At 39.2% G+C, this 24369-nt stretch overlaps 2 long non-coding RNA genes across 2 annotated transcripts in view; one reads left to right on the forward strand and one right to left on the reverse strand.

The window, feature by feature from the left end:
• The window catches only part of TARID (TCF21 antisense RNA inducing promoter demethylation), a 386755-nt gene that overhangs the window by 297901 nt on the left and 64485 nt on the right, over positions 1–24369 (reverse strand). The window lies entirely within an intron of this gene.
• Positions 20995–24369, forward strand: part of LINC01312 (long intergenic non-protein coding RNA 1312) — a 32846-nt gene continuing 29471 nt past the window's right edge. Inside the window, exon 1 of the long non-coding RNA NR_027030.1 lies at positions 20995–21583. This is a non-coding gene — a long non-coding RNA (long intergenic non-protein coding RNA 1312). The remainder of the gene's footprint in view (positions 21584–24369) is intronic.

A 24369-nucleotide genomic window follows, 5' to 3' on the forward strand; every position in this document is an offset into this window, starting at 1 on the left:
GGAAGGTACAGACCTGTTGCCAACCTAAACACACCAGTAGGGGTGGTTGTAGTCCTCAGTCAGGAGATTCCACTCAGTGAAGAGAAACTAGGACCCCCATGAAAAAGCAGTGTGGCGACTCCTCTGTAGAGCTGTTGCACTGTGCTGGGGGACCACTCCAGACCCTAGTTACCTCAGACTCCCTAGAGCTTGAAGGCAACAATGGATTAGGTTGTGAAACAGCAAAGATGGCAGCCCATTCTTCTCCCTGGGAGCTCCATCCCAGGGAGGCTCAGAAGCACTGCCAGCTGGAAAACACTGGTGGGGGTGGCTGGTGACCCCAGTTGGAAGGTCCTACCCAGTGAGGGGAAGCAAGTTCAGGGATCCATGTAAGAAAAGCAATCTGGCTGCTTTTCCTACAGCAGCTTCACTGAAGGCAACAGGGGCTAAGGCTGAGAAACAGCAAATATGGTGGCCTGCCTCTCCCTCTGGGAGCTCCATCTCAGGAAGGTGTAACACTGCTACTGGTGGCTGGCTGTAGTTCCAAACCAGTGGGTCTTATCCTGCAAAGTACCATGGAAGTGGGTGGGGCCTGAAGATCATTGCTGCTCAGCCCTCTGGATTCAGCCCCTTTCCTAGGAGTTTTTAAAGGGGTCTATCCTCCTGCTTTGCCACAGTTGCAGCCACTTTTGCTAGGAAGCTCAGATATCTAAAGCTCCCAGGGCTCCAAGTGTGCCTAAGCAGCTGCTCTGCTAAGACCCCACATAGCTCTTCGTGTCAGACAGCAGGCCCTGGTGGAATGCCTTCACAAGGGGATCTCCTGACCCCAGGGTTACAAAAATTTGTGGGAGAAGCATGGATCCCAGAGTCACTCACTGCTTCCCTGGGTAGGGGAGGCTCCCCTGGCTCCATGTTGCTCCTGGGTAAGCAGCCATCCTGCCTTGCTTTTCTCCATTTTCTATGGGTTGAGTTGTTTTCTTGATGAATCCCAATGTGTGTACCTAGATGTTTCAGTTCAAAATCCTGTATTTACTCATGCCTTCTATTTCTCTCCATGAGAGCAGCACACATTAGCTGCTTCTAGTTGACCATCTTGGCCAGGCTCTTATTTATTTATTTAAAAATGAGGTCTCCCTCTGTCACCTAGGCTGGAGTGTAATGGCATGATCATAGTTGATTGCAGCCCTTGAACTCTGGGCTCAAGTGATCTTCCTGCCTCAACCTCCCTGAGTAGCTGAGACTACAGGTACAGGCCACCACACCCAGCTAATTTTTTTTTATTTTTTAGACACAGGGTCTCACTATGTTGCCCAGGCTGGTCTCAAACTCCTGCCTTCAAGTGATCCTTCCACCTCAGCCTCCTGAGTAGTTGGGATTACAGGTGCAAGCCACCATGCCCTACTCTTTTACCAATTTTAAAATCAGATTATTTGTTTTCTTGCTATTGAGTTGTCTGAGTTCCTTATATATTCTGGTTATTAATCTCTTGTCAGATTAACAGTTTGAAAATATTTTCTCGCATTCTGTGGATTGTCTCTTCACTTTGTTGATTGTTTCCTTTGCTCTGCCAAAGCTTTTAGCTTGATATAATCCCAATTGTCTATTTTTGCTTTTGTTGCCTGTGCTTTTGAAGTCTTAAACAAAATATCTTTGCCCAGACCAATGTCCTGAAGCATTTCTCCAATGTTTCCTTACAGTAGTTTCACAGTTGCAGGTCTTACATTTAAGTCTTTAATCCATTTTCAGACAATTTTTGTATATGGTGAAAGACAGGGATCTAGTTTCATTCTTCTGCATATGGGTATCCAATTTTTCCAGCATCACTTATTGAAGAGACTGTCCTTTATCCAGCATATGTTCTTGGTACCTTTGTTGAAAATGAGTTGGCTGTTAAGTGTGTGTATTTATTTCTTGGTTCTCTATTTTGTTCCATTGGTCTATATATGTGTTTTGATGCCATTATCATGCTGTTTTGGTTACCACAGCTTTGTAGTATAATTTGAAATCAGGTAGTGTGATGCCTCCAGCTTTATTCTTTTTGCTCAGGATTGCTTTAGGTATTTGGAGTCTTTTGTAGTTCCATACAAATTTTAAGGTTGTTTTTTCCACTTCTGTGAAGAATGTCATTGGTATTTTGATTGCATTGAGTCTGTACATAGCTTTGGGTAGTAGAAACATTTTAACAATATTAATTATTCCAATCCATGAGCATGGGATACCTTTCCATGTCTTGTGTCCTCTTCAATTTCTTTCATCAATATTTTATAGTTTTCCTTATAGAGATCTTTCACTTCTTTATTTTTATTGAGGTAACATATACATATATAATTTACATCTTTAACATTTTTAGTTTATGGTTCAGTGGTAATAAATAAATTTATATTGTCTTAATTTCCCTCCTCTCCCTTTTTCCAGGCCTCTGATAACCACCAATCTAGTCTTGTCTTCATGAGATCCACTTTTTTTAGCTTCCACGTATGAGTGAGAACATGCAATATTTGTCTTTCTGTGCTTGGCTTATTTTACTTAATATAATCACTCTAGTTATAACCATATTACTGCGAAGAGTAGGATTTTATTCCTTTTTATGACTGAATAATATTTCATTGTGTATATATACTGCATTATCCATTTCATCCATTGATGGGCACTTAGGTTGATTTCATATTTTGACTATTATGAATGGTGCTACAATAAACATAGGAGTGAAGGTATCTCTTTTATATACTGATTTCTTTTCTTTTGAATATATAACTAGTAATAGGATTACTAGATCACATTGTAGTTCTATTTTTAGTTTTCTGAGAAACTTCCATACTGTTCTTCATGGTGGCTGTACTACCTTACATTTTTATCAACTGTGTATGAGGGTTCTTTTTTCTCCACTTTCTCACCAGCATCTGTTATTGCCTCTCTTTTTGGCACAAACCATTTTAGCTGGGGCAAGATGATATCACATCGTGGTTTTGATTTGCATTTCTCTGATGATTAGTGATGTTGAGCATTTTGTCAAATACCTATTGGCCATTTGTATGTCTTCTTTGGAGAAATGTCTGTTCAGATCTTTTGCCCTTTTTTACATTTGATTATTATTATTATTATTATTATTTTTTGCTATTGAGTTGAGTTGCGTATATATTCTGGTTATTAATCCCTGGTCAGATGAATAGTTTGCAAAACCCCCGTTCTGTGGGCTGTCTCTTTGTTGATTGTTTCCTTTGCTTTGCAAAAGCTTTTTAGCTTGCTATAATCTCAGTTGTCTATTTTTGCTTTTGTTGCTTATGTTTTTGAGGTCTTAAACAAATAATCTTTGCCCAAATCAATGCTTTACAGTGTTTCCCCAATGTTTTCTCTTCAATTAGTTTCATAGTTTTAGGTCGTAGATTCAACTCTTTAATCCACTTTTATTTGATTTTTGTGTGTAATGAGAGGTAGGGGTCTAGTTTCATTCTTCTAAATATAGTTACCCAATTCTTTGGTTAAATTTATTCCTAAGCATTTTATTTTTTGTAGCTATTATAAATGAGGTTGCTTTCTTAATTTCTTTTTCAGATTTATTGCTGTTAGTGTATAGAAATGCTGCTGATTTTTGTATGTTGATTTTGTATCCTACAACTTTACTAAATTTGTGTATCAGTTCTATGAGTTTTTTAATGGAGGCTGGTTTTTCTAAATATAAAAGTATGTCATCTGCAAACAATAATAATTTGACTTTTTTTCAAATTTGAATGCCTTTTTATTTCTTTTTCTTGCCTAATTTCTCTGATTAGGACTTCTAATACTATGTTGAGTAAAAGTGGTGAAACCAGTGCAGTATGATATTAACTGTGTGATTGTTATATATAGCCTTTATCATCTTAAGGTATATTGTTAACAGAATCGAAAACAAAAACCATATAATTTTTTCAATAGATGCTGAAAAAGCATTCAATAAAACTCAGAAAAGTCTATTTTGCTCACCATTTTACCTTCAGATTCTTGCATAAAACATCTCATCATACTTATTCCATCCTCTGAAGAGTTACTTCTACTAACTTGTTAAAATTAAACCTTATGAAGTGCAAGGGCAGACAACAGAAGGAGAGAAGATGACAACAGAAAGAGTCATGACAAAAGAGGTGGAAAATAAAAGTAAAAGCTTTACATGAGAACCTCATCTACCCACCAGAGCTTGTTATCTTTAAGATCAAGAAAGATTGCTCCAGAGTATGACTGGGAAAGCCTGAGCCACTCCATTTTAAAACCACCACTAATGTTCAGTTTTGTTGTTTCTCTAGAAGAACTCCCAAGGGCAACTCTGACCTTAGGTTGGCTCCAGACTAGCTGTCTAGACCTTGAAATTTTCTGATAGCCCCTCTTATTTTCCCTGAGCAGCCTAAATATTTCCCAATTTTTCCAGCCTAGCAGCTCCCTATTCCTTGGCCCCACACCATTCTGTTGGAGTTATGCAACAGGAAGTCTGAAGTCAGGTTGGGAAAGAGATAAGCAATACCAAGAAAGCGGTGTCCCAGATGCCAAGAAATAGAGGTGTTTTAAGGAGAGAGTAATGTAAATATAACAATGAATAGAAATTTTATTAAAAGAGATAAAAAATAAACCGCCAAAATTGAATAAATAATTAGAGTCAAATGATGATAAGGGATATGAAGAAAATGAAACAGGGATGGGGAGAGAAAATGGCAAAAAAGGAGGACAGCAATGTGTTTAATCATGCAATTAGGGAAGGCCTCTTTGAAAAGGTGACGCCTGAGCAGAGATCTGAATTATATCAAGAAGTGGGAGAAGAGCATCAGCATTAAGCGAAGAGGTGTGGAAAGGCTCTAAGGCAGGAAGGAGCACAGATGGTTTGAAGAATGTCGAAAAGGTAAGCATAGCACAAGCAGAGGGAGTCAAGGAGAAAGTAACAGGAGAGTTTGACCACACTAGATAATGCAGAATAACGGGCTTTATTCCAAATGCAATGGGAACCAATGAGAAGCTGATCACAGAAATGGCACAGAGGAAGCATGAAGCCCAGTGAAGAGGCTATGGTGGGAGGCCAGGCCTAGCTTGACGGTCAACTGTTCCAGAATGGGTGGGAGCAGTGACAACAGTGAGAGGTGATCAGGTTCAGGATGTATTAGGAAAGCAGATCCAACAGCGCTGGTTAATGGATTGGGTATGGAGGGTAAAGAAAAGAGAGAAATCCACTATGCTTCCTAGTTTGAGGACCTGAACAAATATAATGCTACTTATTCAGTTGGAGAAGCTTAGAGTAGCATATGTTTTGGGTAATAATATAAAGAATTATGTTTTGGACATGTTAACATTTGAGATCCCAATTAGACATTCAAGCAGAAACTGAAAATAACTAGTTACACCCACAAATCTGAATTTCAGGAGGGAAGTCGTGACTGAAGAATATAAACTTGAGCATACTGAAGGTGTTTAGAACTATTACACAGGGCTGGGCACAGTGGCTCATGCCTGTAATCCCAGCACTTTGGGAGGCCAAGGCAGGTGGATCACTTGAGGTCAGGAGTTTGAGATCAGCCTGGCCAACATGGTGAAACATCATCACTACTAAAAATACAAAAATTAGCCAGGCGTGGTGGCGGACGCCTGTAATCCCAGCTACTCAGGAGGCTGAGGCAGAAGAATCACTTGAACCTGGGAGGCAGCTGTTGCAGTGAGCTGAGAGCTGAGATCGCGCCACTGCATTCCAGCCTGGGTGACAGAGCGAGACTCCATCTCCAAAAAAAAAAAAAAAACTACTACACAGAATAAGGTCAGCTAGGAAAAGTGTGCAAATGGAAGAAAAAGGAGAGCTGAGGCCTGAAACCTGAGGTGTGCCAACATTGAAAGGTCAAATTTGGGAAATAAGCTAGTCAGGGGAAGGAGCAATCAGTGAAGTAACAAATCCCAAGAGAGTGGTGTCATCTCAGATGCTCAAAGAAGGAAGTGTTCAAAAAGGCGAGAGTGGTTTACAGTGCCAAATGTTACACGGGGCACAAGCCAGGAGGTGACAGAGAACTGACCTTTGTCTTGTCAAACTGAGAGGTGAGTGGTTTTATAAACAAGAGCAGTTTCTGTGAAATACTGAGGGTGAAAAGCTGATTAGAGTAGGTTCAATATATTAAGAATATATTGAGTATACCCAGTCACGGTAGGAATTTTACTAAAGAAGAGCAAAGAAATGGGCTAGACATGGGTATGTGGTCAACAGAGGGTTTTTATTTCAGACAAATGGCCTTATACTTGAAGCCTCATGGGAATAATTTAGTTAGAGAGATAAAATAATGATGCAAGAGAGAGATGATAGTTGTGGAAGAATGGATGGGACCAGTGACCTTAGAGGAGCACAGAACTCCTCATTTTAACAAGAGAAAAGTTGATATACAAGCACATGTAAAGGTTGGTCAATTTGGTGATGCAAAGATGAGGTCATATTCTTCTGAATGCTTCTGTTTTCTCAGTGGAATAACAAATGAGGTCACCAGCTGATAGTGAAGAATGGGAAAGTGAAGTTGAAAGTTTGATGACAGAGGAAATGATATCAATTTGCCTTCTCAGAGATGAGGAAAGCAAGTACACCAGGCAAATGGAGTAAGGCACACAGACATCACTTTCCCTGATTCCTTTCACGGCTCATGGTCAATCCTGAACAGACTGCCCACTTCCACAAACACATGATTGTTTTAGAAATTCTATAGAATCATCCTTCAGAATTGAGATGGGTTTTGAGTAACCATTAGCCTCAATTTACTCATTGCCAAGTGCATAGGAAACTTGCTTCTTCCTAGCTTATGAAAAGGCACACTGATCATATGAATAATGAGTAGGAAATCCCTTGAGAGGAGAATCATCTTCTGTATGTCCAAGACAGAGGTGGGATCAGCCAAATATCTTTTCAGCAGGAGGAGTATCCTTCTCTTCCTGAGTGAAACTGACTAGAGATGTGAAGTGAACAAAAAAAAAGTAACCTTTATATTAACACTAGTGTATCAAATTTTTATTTTTCATATTTTTCATTTGACTAATGAGGCATGTCATGATTCAATTTCCAGCTGTTGACATTAAGGTTAAAATGAAAATGCATTTGAAACAAGTTAGGGAACTCCATAAAAAGCAGATTAAACCCCAGTACTATGTTTTGTCAGCTTTTGGGGGCCCCCAAATAATTGAAATGCAGCAGTTACTGTATTAAATTTAGTTAGAATCAAAATAAATTTTTACACATAGAGCCATCCAGCCAAATAAGTCTAAAAGATAGGGAATAATATGATTAATGCCTTGTACATTTTTTACTTGTGGTTATATTTGGAAGATTTGAAATAAACCAGTGTCCATTATTTCTATGGAAATATGTGAGAATGTAGTTTTTAGAGGAAATCTGCCTGATTTAAATAATGAACAGACATGATATCTTTCTGTTGGGAAATGAAGAATAACTTGAGGTAAGAAGCAAACACAAAGAGGGTGTGTAAAGCCAAAGACCCATAAATGTCCTCTGAGTTGTTTATAAATATTTTGTTTACTTGTCTGATTTCTCTGTAACTTAGCAGTGTTATGAGGGAAATGGCCAAAATTCCTAGAAACTACATTATACATACACACACATTCAAGTTAGCAAATCTTACAATCCCCTTGGCAAACCCTTTATGTTTTCCATTTGGAAATATGATAAACTTGTTTATTCTATTTGTCAGTTTTCCGTTTCTGAGTTTCTTCATTGAATTTGTTATCTTCTTTATGTAACCAAGCTGTCCCAAGCATTCTATGGCCACAATTGCAAAGAGAAATTAAGCATATGCATAATAATAGGGAATAATAGTTTGCATAGCACAAGGTTTTGTTAATTGTAAACAAGATGAAGCAGTTATTTTAGCTTTAAATCATACTACATATTACTTAAAATATGTCTTCTGAATTGCCTTTAGGAAGTACATTTTCTCCATCTCTGTGTAACAAGATGGAGTTTTTCCTGAACTGCACTGAATGTCACATTCTGATGCTGGGATGTGAAGGTTTGGGAGAAGGCTGGCACAGTATGTCACTGATATGGTTAGGCTTTGTGCCCCCACCCAAATCTCATCTTGAATTCTAATCCCTATAATCCCACATGTCTAGGGAGAAACCTGGTGGAGTTAATTGAATCATAGGGGCAGTTTCCCCGATGCTGTTCTCATGATAGTGAGTGAGTTCTCATGAGATCTGATGATTTTATAAGGGGCTCTTTCCTCCTTGCTCTTCATTCTCTCTTGCCTGCTGCCACATGAGAAGTGTCTCTTCCACTTCCACCATCGTTGTAAGTTGCCTGAGGCCTCCCCAGCCCTGCTGAACTGTGACTCAATTAAACCTCTTTTCTTTATAAATTACCCAGTCTTGAGTACGTCTTTAAAGCAGTATGAAAATGGACTAATACAGTCACCTAGGCTGGAAACCCTGCAGACTCAACTCTCTTGGCCCTCAGGTCTGCCAGGGAGAAAATGGTATGAGCATGCAACTAAGGCAGGTGAAAGTAGCACAGGGAAACCAGACTGGAGAAACCATAAGTCAGCTAGCCATGGTAGTGGTGACCCTGTCATTGAAGGACTTTTTTATTTTAGTAGACAAAAATGAAGATACCACTAGAAAGACCAGAACATCTGTGTTTCAGTGACAGTCACAGGGAGACTACTAAGCTCTCCTGTTTTCTCACTGGGACAACAGGAAGTAGGACAGACTCACTGGACTATATAAAAATTTCAGGGAGGATCTGGAAGTTATTGTTGGAAGAAGATCTCTGGGAAAGAGGTAAGACATTCTCTTATTGGTAGACCACATGCTCAGTCATTTAATCTAAATGCTATATATCCCAAGGTGAAAAAAGAGATATCATTTATATCTGCTATCTTAGAAACACAGGGAAAATAAATTCCTTTATTATAGTAATTCAGTAAGGGTCTAATAAATAGATTCTATCTAGATTTTGTAATACATCAAAAAAGAGGATTAAAGAAGTAGCACCAACCTTCTGAATCATGGTATTAATTAGATTTGCCTCTTTCCTTTTAAGGAAAAACAATTCTTTGCACATCATGACCACTCAACATTTTTTAACTGAAGTATTCTGAGATTTTAAAGAATTGTTGAAACATGTTGCATTATTCCTAACTAACCATCTCATCAGCTATAAAAAAATCAATCATCAAGTTTAATAAGGATATTGTTGAATAAGTCTTATAGTTCCTTGAGAAACATTTTTTTTGCATCAAAATGAATCTTTACACTTAGATCTGCATATAATTTTGAGTTCAAAATACTTAATAGACTAATTAAATGTATACATTTTCTTGAGTACACAAATTAGAAAATCTTTGGATTAAGTCAATAAATTATTTCCAAAAGATAATTGTTAATGTGTGCTCAGTATTTTAGGAAGTGCTTTCACATACATGATCTCATTTGTTATTCATGACAACCTCATGAGTTGGGAATTTCCGTATTTCACAAATAAGTTAACAAAGGCTCCAAGAAGATAATTCACTAAGACATTAGTAAGAGGCTAAATGTGGTTTCTTTGTATCCAGATGCCATGTCTTTCTTATGTTAATGCATAGTCTGACATAAAATAATGCTATAAATGTGTGGCAAAATTAAAAGGAGAACATAAGCATCCTTCTTGTAATCCCAGGATTTACCCAGTCATCTAGCCTACCTTGCTTTTAAGCTACCCATGAGTCCTTTTGCTACATGACATTTCATGGATGATCATCCCTTGCAGTGGGTCTGGATCTCTATAGTCAACATCTAATAGGACAGCTTCCCTGTCATATTTCTCTGGCTCCCTGCCACATGTTTACACCTGATAGCCCTATTCCACTGGTCCTAGCTTATTGACCCAGAGGTAAATACCTTCTTCACGTTGAGCTCATCAAATTCCTTCTAACTGAAATTTGGAATTGGGACCATAAAAGAAATAATCAGTGTCTCCTTTACTCGACCTAAATCATATATATCCTGAACCATGGAGTGACCAAGTTCCTCTTTCTGGACTACAGGAAGAAAGAAGCACATATATGAATTCCATGAACTTATCCTCCTAATAAATCCCACTTTTTTTCTCAAACCAGAGCTGCCGAGATTTTATTATTTGTAACTAAAATCCCAAATAATGTATCTGATAATCCCCTAAACTCATCTACTCATCTTCATCACTTCATCCTCAACCCTTGAGCAGAACTTCCAAAATTCATTTAGGTAGATGACTATGAGCAGACAATAAAAATTCACTTACTATAAACTGTGAGAATTTTTAAATTGAAAATACTACAGATGAATTTGTGGTAAAGAATTTAGCCTTGCCCAAAGAGAGGTCTGGCCTTGTCCATGGCTACTTGGAAGGAATCTCTGAGCTCCTGGAATGTCATGCTCAATAGGAGTGTCTTTGTTTGCCTGGCAGACTTGAATCACATTGGATAGCCTGACAATTTGATTTAGAGTGGGGGCTGGAAACACCAGGTAGCCTTATTAGGCTACTGATTGAGTTAATAATAACAATGTCATTAGGGTGGGGACTTTGGGTCATATGGTATCGATTGACCTCTGGAGAGACAGGAGACTAAGATCAGCTATATGAGCAATCAGTCATGCCTATAGGATGAAGCCCCAATAAAAACTCTGGACATCAGGTAAACCTCCCTGACTGGCAGTATTCCATGCATAGTCACTCATTGACACTAGTGAAATAATGCTGTCCTGAGTCAACCACAGGGGACAACTGGAAGCTCCCTCTTTGATGTACTCCTATACATTCCCTATGTGTCTCTTCCTTTGGCTGATTTTAATCTGTTTCTTTTCCCTTCCAAAAACTATAACTGTGAGCATAACAGCTTTTAGTGAGTTCTGTGAGCCCTTTTCACAAGTTATCAAACCTGAAGTGGTTTTGGGAATCCCCTGAATTTGCAACTGGTATCAGAAATAAGGCTGGCCTTGTGTGCACTGATCCCTCTAACTTCACAGTTAACTTACACAATGGATGACCCTACTTTACTAGACAAAGCAAGCTGTTTTCTATCACTTCTTTTAAAGACTAAGAATAGTCCTCAAGTCTATTGGCAGTCTAGAGATCCAGAAGACTGCATTTTACGCATGCTTCTACAATTGACTTGATAACTGTGTTCACCGAATGTGTTACATTTCTCTCTGACCTTCTTGACTATAATGTTCTTGAAGACAGAAACTATGTCTTCGTACTCATTTCAGCTCTAGTTCCTAGCATAATACAGATACGTAGGTGGCATTTAAAAATGCCAAATGGCCTGTGGATGGATGACTAGAAGGAAGAAAGAATGGATAAGTGGATATATAGATGAGTGGTTGGTTTCATATCAAAATCTTCTAGAGTTACAGTTAGATGTACAATGACCCAGTGAAATTCCTGTGAGGATCAGAATAAGAGCTCTCCTCTTTTACTTTGATAGCCAGGTTTATAGAGGAGCTTACCAGGGAGTATTAGGGAAAGCCTGCCCTATAGTTCTGTGTTTTCCCAGGTTCAGAACCAACCTGAATAGTGTGAGAAAAGTGAGAATTGAAACCAAAATCACTTCATGGACACCATCCCCAGGCATACCCGTAAAGAGATAATTCAGTCCTGGACTTTCAGGAAAATGCCTAAGTCAGCATTGAAAAACATTTGCGTTGATTTTTTTAAAGCCCTGATATGTAACTATTTTCATTATTACTTCCACTAGCTCCCATTAATTTGCTGAATATGTCATACATTCTTATTTACTTCTCATGACAACCCAATGGCTTCAATATTATTAGTCCTGCCCTTAAGGAGCGTATACCCCAACATGGGAGGAGAAGAGGGTGCACAGAGGATGGTTCAATGCAAGCTGTGGAAAAGGCTGAGCAGCAGGAGAAAGCATCACAGGGCTCCTTAAAGGTCCCTGGTTAATGTGGTCAGGGAAGAGTTTCTAAAGGGAATGGTATAGAAACTCATGCTTGAAGACAGGGCAAGGGGTGGCCAGGTGCAGTGGCTCATGCCTGTAATCCCAGCACTTTAGGAGGCTGAAGTGGGCGGATCACCCAAGGTCAAGAGTTTGAGACCAGCTTGGCCATGATGGCGAAACCCCATCTCTACTAAAAAGTACAAAAATTAGCTGGGTGTGGTGGTGTATGCCTGTAATCCCAGCTACTCAGGAGGCTGAAGCAGGAGAATCACTTGCACCCAGGAGACGGAGGTTGCAGTGAGCTGAGATTGCGCCATTGCACTCCAGCCTGGGCGACAAGAGCAAAACAGAAAGGAAGGAAGGAAGGAAGGAGAGAAGGGGAGGAAAGGGGAGGGAAGGGGAGGGAAGAGGAGGGAAGGGGAGGGAAGGGGAGGGAAGAGGAGGGAAGGGGAGGGAAGGGGAGGGAAGAGGAGGGAAGGGGAGGGAAGGGGAGGGAAGGGGAGGGAAGGGGAGGGAAGGGGAGGGAAGGGGAGGGAGGGAGGGAGGAAAAAATAAAAGAAAAGAAAGAAATTAGGGGTATTTGGGCAATGTACTCCTTTTTTCCTATAAAGGAATGCCTGAGACTGAGTAATTTCTAGGGAAAAGAGGTTTCTTTGGCTCACGGTTCTGAAGGCTGTACAAGCATGGCACCCACAACTACTCAGCTTCTAGTGAGACCTCAGGAAGCTTTTACTCATGGCAGAAAATGAAGAAGGAACAGGCGTGTCACATGGCAAAATAGGGAGCAAGAGAGAGAGAGAGGAGGAGGTGCCAGGCTCCTTTAACAACCAGATCTCATGTGAACTAATAAAGCAAGAACTCACTCATTACCAAAAGGGTGGCAGGGATCTGTCCCCACGACCCAAACACCTCCCACTAGGCCACCTCCAACATTGAAGATCACATTTTAACATGAGATTTGGAGGGGACAAATATCCAAACCATATCAGGCAGAATAAGCAGAATGAAGAGAATCAATATAAAACAGAGCATATTAGCCCAGTTTGGATGAAGTATACAAGTGAACATTTTGAGCCAGCTCTCTTTCTCTCAGTAGCTATGTAATTCTCGCTTTCCTGAGCCAAACTTTTCTCCAAATATCTATATTTATAAAAATAACACCTAGCTCAGGCAGTTGTTATGTGGATTAAATAAGGAAATAACAGAGTGGTGCAGACTCAATAAATACATGTTGTCTTTTGTTAATGGTGTAGTCATAGGAGTTCTCAACCAGGGACAGTCTTCTTCCCTTCTCCAAAATTTGTGGACATGTTTATTATTTTATAATGCCCAGAGAGTTCTCCTGGCACTTAGTGGATGGGCTCAGCGTGGCTAAATGCTCTATAATTCCTGGGACATTATGGTTCAACCAATAATATTCCCTCCCAAAGGCCAATATTGTTTGCATTAAGAAACATGGGTAAGAATAATAGAAGAAAAAGCTGGAGACATAAAATGAGACTAGGTTACAGTAAACTTTGAATACAAGGCTACAGAGTTCACTTTGATAGATAAGGAGAAGCCACTGAACTTAAGCAGGAAGTAATAACACCAATGCTTTCAGAAGGCTAATATAACAGGGGCTGGCAGCATAGACTGAAAGTGAGGGAGGCTGGTGGGAATGTTATAAGTTAGCAGGTGCTCACCATTGCCCCTGCATGAAGCACTAGAGGATTGCAGTGAACCGAGATCATGCCACTGCACACCAGTTTGGGAAACAGAGCAAGACTCTGTCTCAAAAAATATACATATAAAATGAAAATTTAAAATAAAAAGTCTGTGAGGACAGAGAATATATTCATCTCCTGCACTTTATCTTCATCACCTTCTATGGTATCTGGCACCTAACTAGTATGCAACATTTGCCAAATAAAGATATAGCTGAAGCTATAATTGTGAAAAAAGTTATCTCGAAAATAACTATTTAAAAAAAGATGTGAAAGAAAAGTATATTTCAACAATAAAAAATTATTACTTATTATTATTATTGCTGTTGCTACCATTTGCAGAGTACCTGTTACCTAATCTTCACAACCACACTGCAAGGTTGTAGATCTTATTAACCATAGTTTAAATAGGAGAGAAATTGTACCTCTAAACTTTACACTACTAAAAAAATTCAGGACTAGCATTTAGCCCCCAACCTTTTGACTCCCTATTCCAAAATCTTTCTAGAACATTAAATTCTCTTCAGTGAGGGAGGGATGAGGAACCCTGACTATTGTGTTGCAACCTAGAAAGAGAGAGAACACATCAAACAGTTACAGAGATAAGTCAGGTGGCTTGGCAGGTTTAGCTTTCTAGGGTTACTTTGGCAAATGAGCAGATCTGCCTGAGAATCTAAACCACCCCATATACAGCCTGCATTGAATGTCAACTTAGTTGCTTCATTCAAGGAGCCTTCCCAAGAGAGATCCCAGCTGTTGCTGCTCGCCTTAGCTTGGCCACTATCTTGCCTTAACTTTGGCTGTTCTGTTTCTGATTGAAACTTCTGGCATACAATGGCCTATTACCTGTCTACCTTCTTCAGCAGCTGCCTCTGCTGATGTCACATAAATGCCATGTACCTTTCAACAAAGAAGAAGATGAGTGCCTCATCAACTTAGGCTTTTGCCCATACTTCTAAGGTTCACTATGTGAGACCTCTAGAAAGTTTCCTATTGATTTTAGCTTCTAAAAATCTCTTGAACCTCTGTACTTATCACTTACTCTCCACTGCTACTATTGACAACTCTCCCCTGCACCATTTTAATAGCCCCTAATATGGTTTGGCTATGCCCCACCCAAATCTCATCTTGAATTATAATCCCCATAATCCCTAGGTGTCATAGGAGGGACCCAGTGGGAGGTAACTGAATCATGGGGGCGGCTTCCCCCATTGTGTAATTGTGATAGTGAGTGAGTCATTACAAGATCTGATGGTTTCATAAGCATCTGGCATTTCCTCTGCTTGCTGGCATTCATTCTCTCTCCTGCCATCCTCTGAAGAGGTGCCTTCCACCATGATTGTAAGTTTCCTGAGCTCTCCCCAGCCATGTGGAATTGTGAGTCTTTATACTGTGAGTTATAAAGAAAAACCTCTTTTCTTTATACATTACCAAGTCTCAAGTATTTCATCATAACAGCATGAGAATGGACTAATACAACTCCTCATCTGGCTTTCTCTCATCCACACCTATCTCCCTCTCTAATTTATCCTCCACAATATAGCCAGAGTAATTCTTTTTAAATGCTCATATGGTCTTTCTCCCTTTTTTCTTAAAATACCTTAAAAACTTACTTTGGGCTTAACATAAAATCAAAATGTTCAGCACGGTTTCAGATCCAACAAGATCCAGACCTGGCTGAACTCAGGGGACACAGACTCCCTCACCTTCTGTGCCCTGGGCACATTAGTCTTCCTTCAGGTCCTCACAGATGCTGTGCTCCTCATGCCAGGACCATGGTACACGTTGTCCTGGCTCACTGTGTGCCTGGTTGACTCCTACTCATCCTTTGCATCACAGCTCAAGGGTTACTTCTTCACAAGGTTCTTCCCAATTCTTCAGCCTCAGTCAGGTCTCTCAAGACTCCCAACTTATTTCCCTCATCATACAGATCCCAATCTGTGATTACATAGTTTTGTGTGATTATTTCTAATTAATGTCTAATTCCTCCACTATTATATTATCAGTACCAGTACAGTGCCAGCTGACACTCAATGAGTATTTGTTGAATGAGTAAATGAATGAGTTTACAATTTCAGAAAATAGAATGTGTTACCTTAGAAGAAAATCCACACTATGTGGAATGCTTCGAAAAGGACATGCAGTTTTGAATGATTTCATAATATTACTTTGTTTTCTACTCCATGAGTAATTTCATGTTAAGTAAAAATATTCTGTGGTTGAAAACTCAATAAATTAGTATGATTTACAATAGGAACAACAAAAATTTAACTTTCTAGTATTGATGAGGTTCTTTTCTGAGTATATAACTTTAAGCTGATTTCTATTTATTAGTAAAAAGATGATATTTTAATGTGCTTTTCTGCTTATCTAGATTTACAATATTTAAAAATCTTTGCTCTTCAAGTTTCATTTTTTCCTTTAAGGATTTTCAATCAAAAAGTTTAGTAATGAAGCATATATACAGTTCATGAACATGAACATATTTTAAGACTTTTGGGAAACACTCAAAACAAAAGCTATTTTGAGAATTAGGAAATAGCTTGTCTGAATATTGCCAAGTGCATTTGGAATAACCTTTTTGTGGGATGCAATAAAAAAGAAAGACGAAAACTTCAACATTCTCAGTTCAAGGTTACAAGGGAATGTGAACAAAAAGTGTTTCTCATTCTGTTAACACTTGGACACACAGAACATAAAAACAGTGTCTTCTTTCATTTAAAAAAATTTGAAACACACACAGGGAAACTTTGACCTTCTTGCCTTTTAGCTTCTCTGAGAGAGTTCTGCATAAATTTTGACCCCTTTTTCTCCTGTCCAACTTTTTACTGTGTATTTAATGAGCTTTGGATACCTATGCATCCCAATATATCCATAATGAGTTGGCAGTGGGAGAGGAAGAACAGGCCTGCAGATGCTGCTTCTATAATGGACAATGCTGTTGTAATGTCAGGACTTCCCTCTCAGCTGCAAACTGAAGGAGAAGGAAAATGTTTCATTCATGACACATTAAACACAAATACCATTTTTATTTGTTTGTTTGATTGTTTTTATTTTTGTAGAGACAGGGTTTCACTATGTTGCCCAAGCTAATCTTGAACTTCCGTTCTAAAGCGATCTTCCAGCCTCAGTTTCCTAAAGTGCTGGGATCACAACTGTAAGCCACCATGCCTGGCCAAAATACCCTTTTTAAAAATAGAAGGGTGCTGGCAGAGTCAGACCAAACAATTTGTCAGGGCAACAGCAAATTTTTAGGCAAAGATGACTCCAGCTCTTAAGAATTAGGAACCTGGCCAGGCGCGGTGGCTCACGCCTGTAATCCCAGCACTTTGGGAGGCCGAGGCTGGCGGATCATGAGGTCAGGAGATTGAGACCATCCTGGCTAACACGGTGAAACCCCGTCTCTACTAAAAAAGTACAAAAAATTAGCCCGGTGTGGTGGCGGATGCCTACAGTGCCAGCTACTCGGGGGAGGCTGAGGCAGGAGAATGGCGTGAACCCAGGAAGCGGAGCTTGCAGTGAGCCAAGATCGCGCCACTGCACTCCAGCACGGGCAACAGTGCAAGACTCCGTCTCAAAAAAAGAAAAAGAAAAAGAAAAAGAATTAGGAACCTTATTCTGAACATCTGTATCTTAATCAAATGTTTTGCTCCATAATTAAAAACTCAGAGCCTCAGGTACTATTTTGTTCCTATGCAATCTGCCAGCTAATGTAATAGTGTTATAAGAATTTTAAATAAGTAGATAAAATAAATTAAGGATTTAAAATAAAATAAAAATGTGTTTCAGGAGTGATTGCAGAGAGAAAGAACGTTACACAGTCTGGACCCCAGACCCAAAGGGAATTTAGAGTTTAAACCAAACATAGTGTGGCTGGCGCCCCTACTGGACAAGTGAGGCACTGCACATGCAGCGGGTTGGGCCTGGGTAATACCTACCTACCTGGAGAAGTAAAAATTCTCGCATGCCAGTGGCGTGCGTCTGAAGTCCCAGCTACTCCAGAGGCTGAGACGGAAGGACAGCTTGAGTCTGGGAGATGGAGGCTGAAGTGAGCCGAGAGTCCCCCACTGTGCTCCAGCCTGGGCGACAGAGTGAGACACTGTCTCAAAAAAAAAAAAAAATGCCAGGACCTGGGCCCTAGAGTCAGGGTATTTCCTAGAACCACAGTGCCAGTATGGTGCAGTAGAACAGAACAGTTGCAGAGGGGAGAACTGAGAGTGAAGAAGAAATCCAAAAATTGTTACTATGTACTGGATTAAAAGGAATTATCCTGTGAAAGCAAAGACTCCCAGCTTGTGTCTGTCTTGGAGCCGACTGGACAGTCTGCCTCTTCTTTGCCTAATGCTTCCCCTTTATAGCATTTGGGCAAACTTTCTCCTGTAAAAATACATCTCAGTTTTTAGAAAAGAACTTTACAGCAAATAATCCAGCTCATTCATTATGACCTAAACCCAGACATGAGGAAAATACATTTATTCAATATGGTACCAAATATTATTAAATGTATTTGTATTAGTCCATTTTCACACTGCTATAAAGAAATTCCCTGACGCTGAGTAATTTTTAAAGGAAAGAGGTTTCATTGACTCACAGTTCTACATGGCTAGGGAGACCTCAGGAAACTTACAATCATGGCAGAAGGGGCAGCCAGCACCTTCTTCGCAAGGTGGCAGGAGAGAGAGAGAAAAGCCCAGGGGAAAGTGCTGTTTATAAAACCACCAGATCTCGTGAGAACTCACTCACTGTCATGAGGACAGCATGTGGGAAACCGCTCCCATGATCTAATCACCTCCTACCACGTGGGGATTATGAGGATTACAATTCGAGATGAGATTTGGGTGGGGGCACGGCCTAAACCACATCAGTATTAAATATGCTACTGAATAGAAATAAATAGACTTATTTAGTATACTATTAAATGTGTAAGTCAATACACTTATTCCATGCACTATTAATTTTATAAATTAAAAAATATACTACAGCAAGAGGCTGAAAGAAAGCTAAGTAATTTTTTTAGAAAATCTGAAGACATTTTACTTATAATTCACAAAGCACAAACATTGTGTATAGCAACAGAAGCAAGCTGTGATAGGACAGAGCTAATGAAAAACCAACGATAATCTCAGATTGCCCAAGAAACTATAGCAACTCATCAAAAATAGAGTATCTTCCCTAATTTTAGCCTTTTTGGAAGTAGCAGTAGGCTAACCTCCTTCAACTGATGAGAAAACCATAGCCCAGCCTCCTGGGATCACAGCTACTTGAGCAGCAAAACAAGGAATAGAACTCCCGTCATTTTAAGGCACCAAAAATCAAGATCTTTACTCAAGATACAGTCTCCATCCTATGAGTTTGCTCCCAGAAATCTCATTTTTCTAAAATCTTTCCCATCTTTGAAAGTGGTCATTAAATCAGCTACTTTTTCAGACTTTTGTAGTACATAGTATATATCTGTTTCTACTTTAATTATGTATTAGTATTTTAATGATTGAATAATTAATTTTCATATGAAATAAATAAGTTAAAATCTGTACTGGTTAAAATAAACTTATGTAATCAATAGACCTGGACATTTTAGTCAGTTAAAAGCAATAGCAATTTATTTCTCACATATGTAGCAGCAGAGGGCTCGTATTCATACTAATGGGCCTCTCTCCTCAACCTGCTGTGTGGCTGTCCTATCTTCTAGTGATGCATTATCATCTGTATCCAGTGGGCAGAAACTGGAGAAGAGCATGGAAAACCCCACAGGTGCACTTATAAAAAGCCTCAGCCAGCCCAGATGTGACACAAGTCACTTTCACTCAAAAGCCAAGGAAGAATGGGAACTGAAGTCTTAGCATTTGCCTGGCAGTATTCCCTTCACTAAAGCAGAGGAGAGACTGGACTCAGGTAGATAGCTGACAACCACAGCCATTCTCTCAAATCCAGTACTTAAGGCTTATGTCTTAGTCAATAAGGTAAAAAGAAAATCAATAAGGTAAAAAGTCAAATCTCAGAAAAATGCTGAGGTTTTTTCCTTGTACTTACTTAATCCACCCATTATTTATTAAAGGCTTGTGCTGAATGCCATAATAATAAATCCTGGACTTCACACAACTTATATAAATTAGCAAAGAATATAAGACTGTGCAATTAAAGTTACACAAATAAGATTTTTTTAAATCAAAAGCATACTCAGATTGAAATGAACTTTCAGTATCACCCAAAGCACAAAATTACTACTTAAAAGAAAGTAATCAGTCAATAATACACATTCCCTGAACATATGGTTTGCACAAGACACTGTTCTGCAATGCTCTGAGTACACACAAGTATAGTATTTGCATCCTATTAGTTCCTCTCTAATTGTGGAACTAATCATTGAAGGCAGTCTATGATTTCTTTTTCAATTTTAAAATCAGCAATGCTGCTGCCACACCTCTGAGGTAAGGTCATTTCCTTGTTACATGTAACCTTGCTCTCTTTTCAGTTTTTAATTCTATTTTGATTATTTTTATTTATAGAGTTCACCTGTCCTGAACACACTACTTCTTCATCGAATATATCAGGTATATATAATCCAGTCTTTGTCTCTTCTATCACCATGTCTTGTAGACAAAGCAAGGAATGCCACAGTCTTGGTCTAATTACAGCTTAGCCTAATGAGTACACGCTGAGCGGTATAAGCCCAAATCAACAGGCCACCCACCAAGAGAGTAAAAAGAAGACCCTGAGTCCTCCCACAGAGACCTGGAAGAGCTTCTGATGGAAACAGGAGATAATTGTGTTTTGCCATTGGCAAATGCATATAGCACCTAGCACAGCAATACATATGATTTAGTGTTTAATATATATTACTGAAAGTGTGATAACGAAAAGAAAAATAGTGATTTGACAGACATACAGCCCAGTGTCTTCCTCCATACTTTCTCCCCATATTTCTAAAGGAGGAATTCTAGGAAGAAACTAGTGGAGAAAAAATATATAGTCACTTACATTAGGCCACTTATATTTGACTGGGGCTTTTCAAACTAAGATTCAAGACACATTTAAATTAAAAGGTTGTGAGCCTCTAAGTGGATTTCAAAATATTTAAAAATGTATACCTTTTTTCTACTACCTTGTAATGATCTAGGCAGTTTTTCACTTCACAGAATTCCTGGTTTGTTTTTAATGTTAAATTTTGCCAATTGGAAGCAAGTAAACACTTGCGGATGTGCTACAGATAAGTGAGTCTCGAATGGGAGCTGATAGAAGAATATCAGAATCTCTGCAGAGATAATGGAGCTAGGAATGTGTAGTTTGGAAAAACTCCCCAAAATGATTCTACAACTCCCCCACCCTCACCCTCATTTAGAACTACTGTTTGAGCTGTTACTTCATAATGAGATCAAACTGCTGTCATAGATGTGGAACACCAAGACAAGTGGCTAGAAACCTTGTACATGAAAACAGCGGCCCACCCAAAGTTTGTCTTTTCCTAGGAAGTTATAGAGAAATGAGGAGGTAACAGAAGAGCAGTCAATAAAAGAAAAATTTCTTTAAAAGACATATGGGTGGGATGAGAACGAATGATTCTTACTTTATCTGTAGAAATTGAATTTTGCTGCAACTAAGAGAGACCTCGAAAATAGTGATTTACACAAATAAAATTTTGTTCCATCAAGAAAACTGATATTCAGCAGTCCAGGCTGATGCAGTGGCTTCAAGAGCTCTTCAGCAACCCAGGCACCTTCCAGGTCTTCTTTCCCAATTCTAGTGCTAGTAACTCCTTCATCTCATCACCCAACATGGCTACCAGAGCTCCAGACATCACGTGTACATCTGAGTTCCAGGAAACCAGACAGAGGGAGAAAAGAAGGGCATGCACGCTCACTTTAAAGAAGACTTCTAAGAAGAACCACCTAAAATTCCCCAACCTAGTCCCAAAGCTCACTTGGCTGCTTTCAAGCCTGGAAAATGCAGTCTTTAAGCTGAAAAATGCTATGACAAAATCAGGTATTTATATTAAAGAAAGGAGAAGGATAATTGGGAGATAACAGTTTCTGCCTTAGAGACCTTTAACAACCTCAGAATCAGTCATAAAATTAAATTTATATGACATACATGTAAATTAGAAATATATATGAATTCACATTCATTGGAAATCATTTGGAAAAAAGCTAATCCAAAATTTGGGGTTGTATGAGATTTATATCAATCAAATGTCAATGTAAAAGACTGACATAAAGTCGGTCAGGTTAGGATCAATAACCGTATTTTCTCCTTAGCAGTAAGTCTCATTCTTAGTCTCAGACTTTAAATTATTTGTAATTATTTTTTCATATAAATTCAATGATTTACCTTCAACTTTTTCTAAGCATCCAAAACTGACCTGAAGCCCTGATGCTTCAAAGTTAACTTATAGTTCTGTGATTTGTCAAGTATAAAACAGGACTTTCTCCATTGTTTCAGATAAACAATACATTCACGTTTTTTGATAATTAGGTATCTCCTATCTGATTTTCACAACCTAATAATTAGTGACTGCCCAACACTAAACAATATCTTAAGAATATAAATAGTTCAATAGATGATGGTGAGAAGAGTGATATTAAAGATAATAATTTATAAAGGTAGCATGAAGCCAAATATTAAACAAATAAATAACAAATTTTTAACTGTCTAATATATTTAGGGACTTTAATGAGTGATTAGGTCATCTTTGATATGAACACATCTTAATTATTGAAATAATACTCAACAAACTCCTTCCTTACTCAATTTGGCTTTGTAAATTTTCATTAGATTTGAAATCCATATGGATGGAACTCGCAAGAAATATGAGTTTAATTGAGGAGTTTCAGTGAAAGAAAATTCTTAAGAAAAAAGAAATGAATTAAATAGAGCAACTTCAGTGTAAAAAACTTCCAGGATCTTGTCCTACACCCTACTCACTTCCATTGACATACCCTAGCCTTTGCCATTACCAATTGCAGCCTTTCTAGAATCTCAATTTTAAGCAGCCCATTCTCTGACCAACAGCTTCTGTTTTTGCAATGTATTCCTTCTACTTCTCCAACTTCACCAATCCATTCACAGTACCGCCTTCTCACTGTCTCTCAGTGCCCCCAGTTCCTCACATCTCTCCTTACCCACCTAAAATTCCATGGTTGTTCACTGTAATTTCTCCCCTGAATACACACCCAAACACTTCATCCTCCTTTGCCTTGTCGAATTTGCTAGGAAAACCTCCAACCATGGTTATATGCATCTTTCCATCACTCCACACTTACATTACATCCAACTGAACATAGATGGAGAAAAACACACAACTATGCCAAATCTCTAGCAGCTCTTTCCCCATCCTCACTCTCAGTGGATGACCTGGCTTCCATTTTTAATGAAAATAACAGAAGCAATCAGAAGTTCTACAAGCTCTCACCCCACACCCATCTATATCCTCATACTTTCCTTCCCGTCCTCTTCCTGTAAACGGACTGTATGTGGTCCTTCATCTCCATTTGTGTACCATATCCCATCTCTTCTGGCCTATTAAATGACATGTCTCCAGCAATTCTCCCTCCCTCTTCTGCCTCATCAACTGTTTTTCCTCTCTTGGATCACTTCATTAGCAAATCAGTAGGTTTTCACTTTACCCATCTTACCAAAAAAAAAGCAAAACACAAACACCTTTTTGCCCCATTTCCTTCCTCAGTATATTAGTCCATTTTCATGCTGTTGATAAAGACTTACCAGAGACTAGGAAGAAAAAGAGATTTTAAGGGACTTATATATATATTTCCACATGGCTAGGGAGGCCTCACAATCATGTCAGAAGGCAAAGAGGCACAAGTCACGTCTTACATGGATGGCGGCAGGCAAAGAGAGAGCTTGTGCAAAGAAACTCCCATTTTTAAAACCATCAGATCTCATGAGACCCATTCACTATCACAAGAACAGCATGGGAAAGACCTGTCCCCATGAGTCAATCATCTTCCACCAGGTCTCTCCCACTGGCTGCCTCCCACAATACATGGGAATTATGGGAGCTACAAGATGAGATTTGGGTGGGGACACAGAGCCAAACCATATCACCCAGCTATCACTCTCTGCTCCATATTACAGGAAAACTCCTTGAAAGCGTTATCTATATTTGCTGTCTCACTCTTCTCCTGCCATTCCGTCCTGAACCCATTTCATTCAGGCTTTCCTACAGACCACTTTGTCTAAGCTGCTCCTGTCAAGGTCATTGGTGACCTCCACATTGCTGCATCACAAAGTCAATTCTCAGTCTTGACCTCACTTGATGTATCAGTACCATATGACAAGCTTATCATTCTTGAGATACTTTGTTCACTTAGCTTCCAGGATAATATGCTCTCCTAGTCTTCCTCCTCTTTTACTGCTGCTCCTTCTCAGTCTCATTTGTTCATTGTTGGAATACTCCCAACCTCAGTTCCTGGGCTTCTTATACATCTATACACTCCCTTGGTAATTTTGTTCAATCTCAGGCTGAAGACTCTCAAATGTAGATCCTTATCCACGACCTCTCCCTTGAACTCCAGCTCTTTATAGACAACCAGCTACTTGACAGTTCCACTTGGATGTCTAATAAGGCATCTCAAATCTCACTTACCTAAACTGAAACTCCTGGTCTCTCCATACACATCCAACACCTGCTCTTCTAGCAGACATCTCCATCTCAGTTAATGCCAACCCTATCTGTATTGGTCAGGCTCAGCTGGGTTCTGCTGAAGCAATAAACGAACTTAACACTGTACCAGCTTCCAAAAGCAAAGGTT

Source organism: Homo sapiens, chromosome 6 (assembly GCF_000001405.40).
Source record: "Homo sapiens chromosome 6, GRCh38.p14 Primary Assembly".
Classification (NCBI taxonomy): domain Eukaryota; kingdom Metazoa; phylum Chordata; class Mammalia; order Primates; family Hominidae; genus Homo; species Homo sapiens.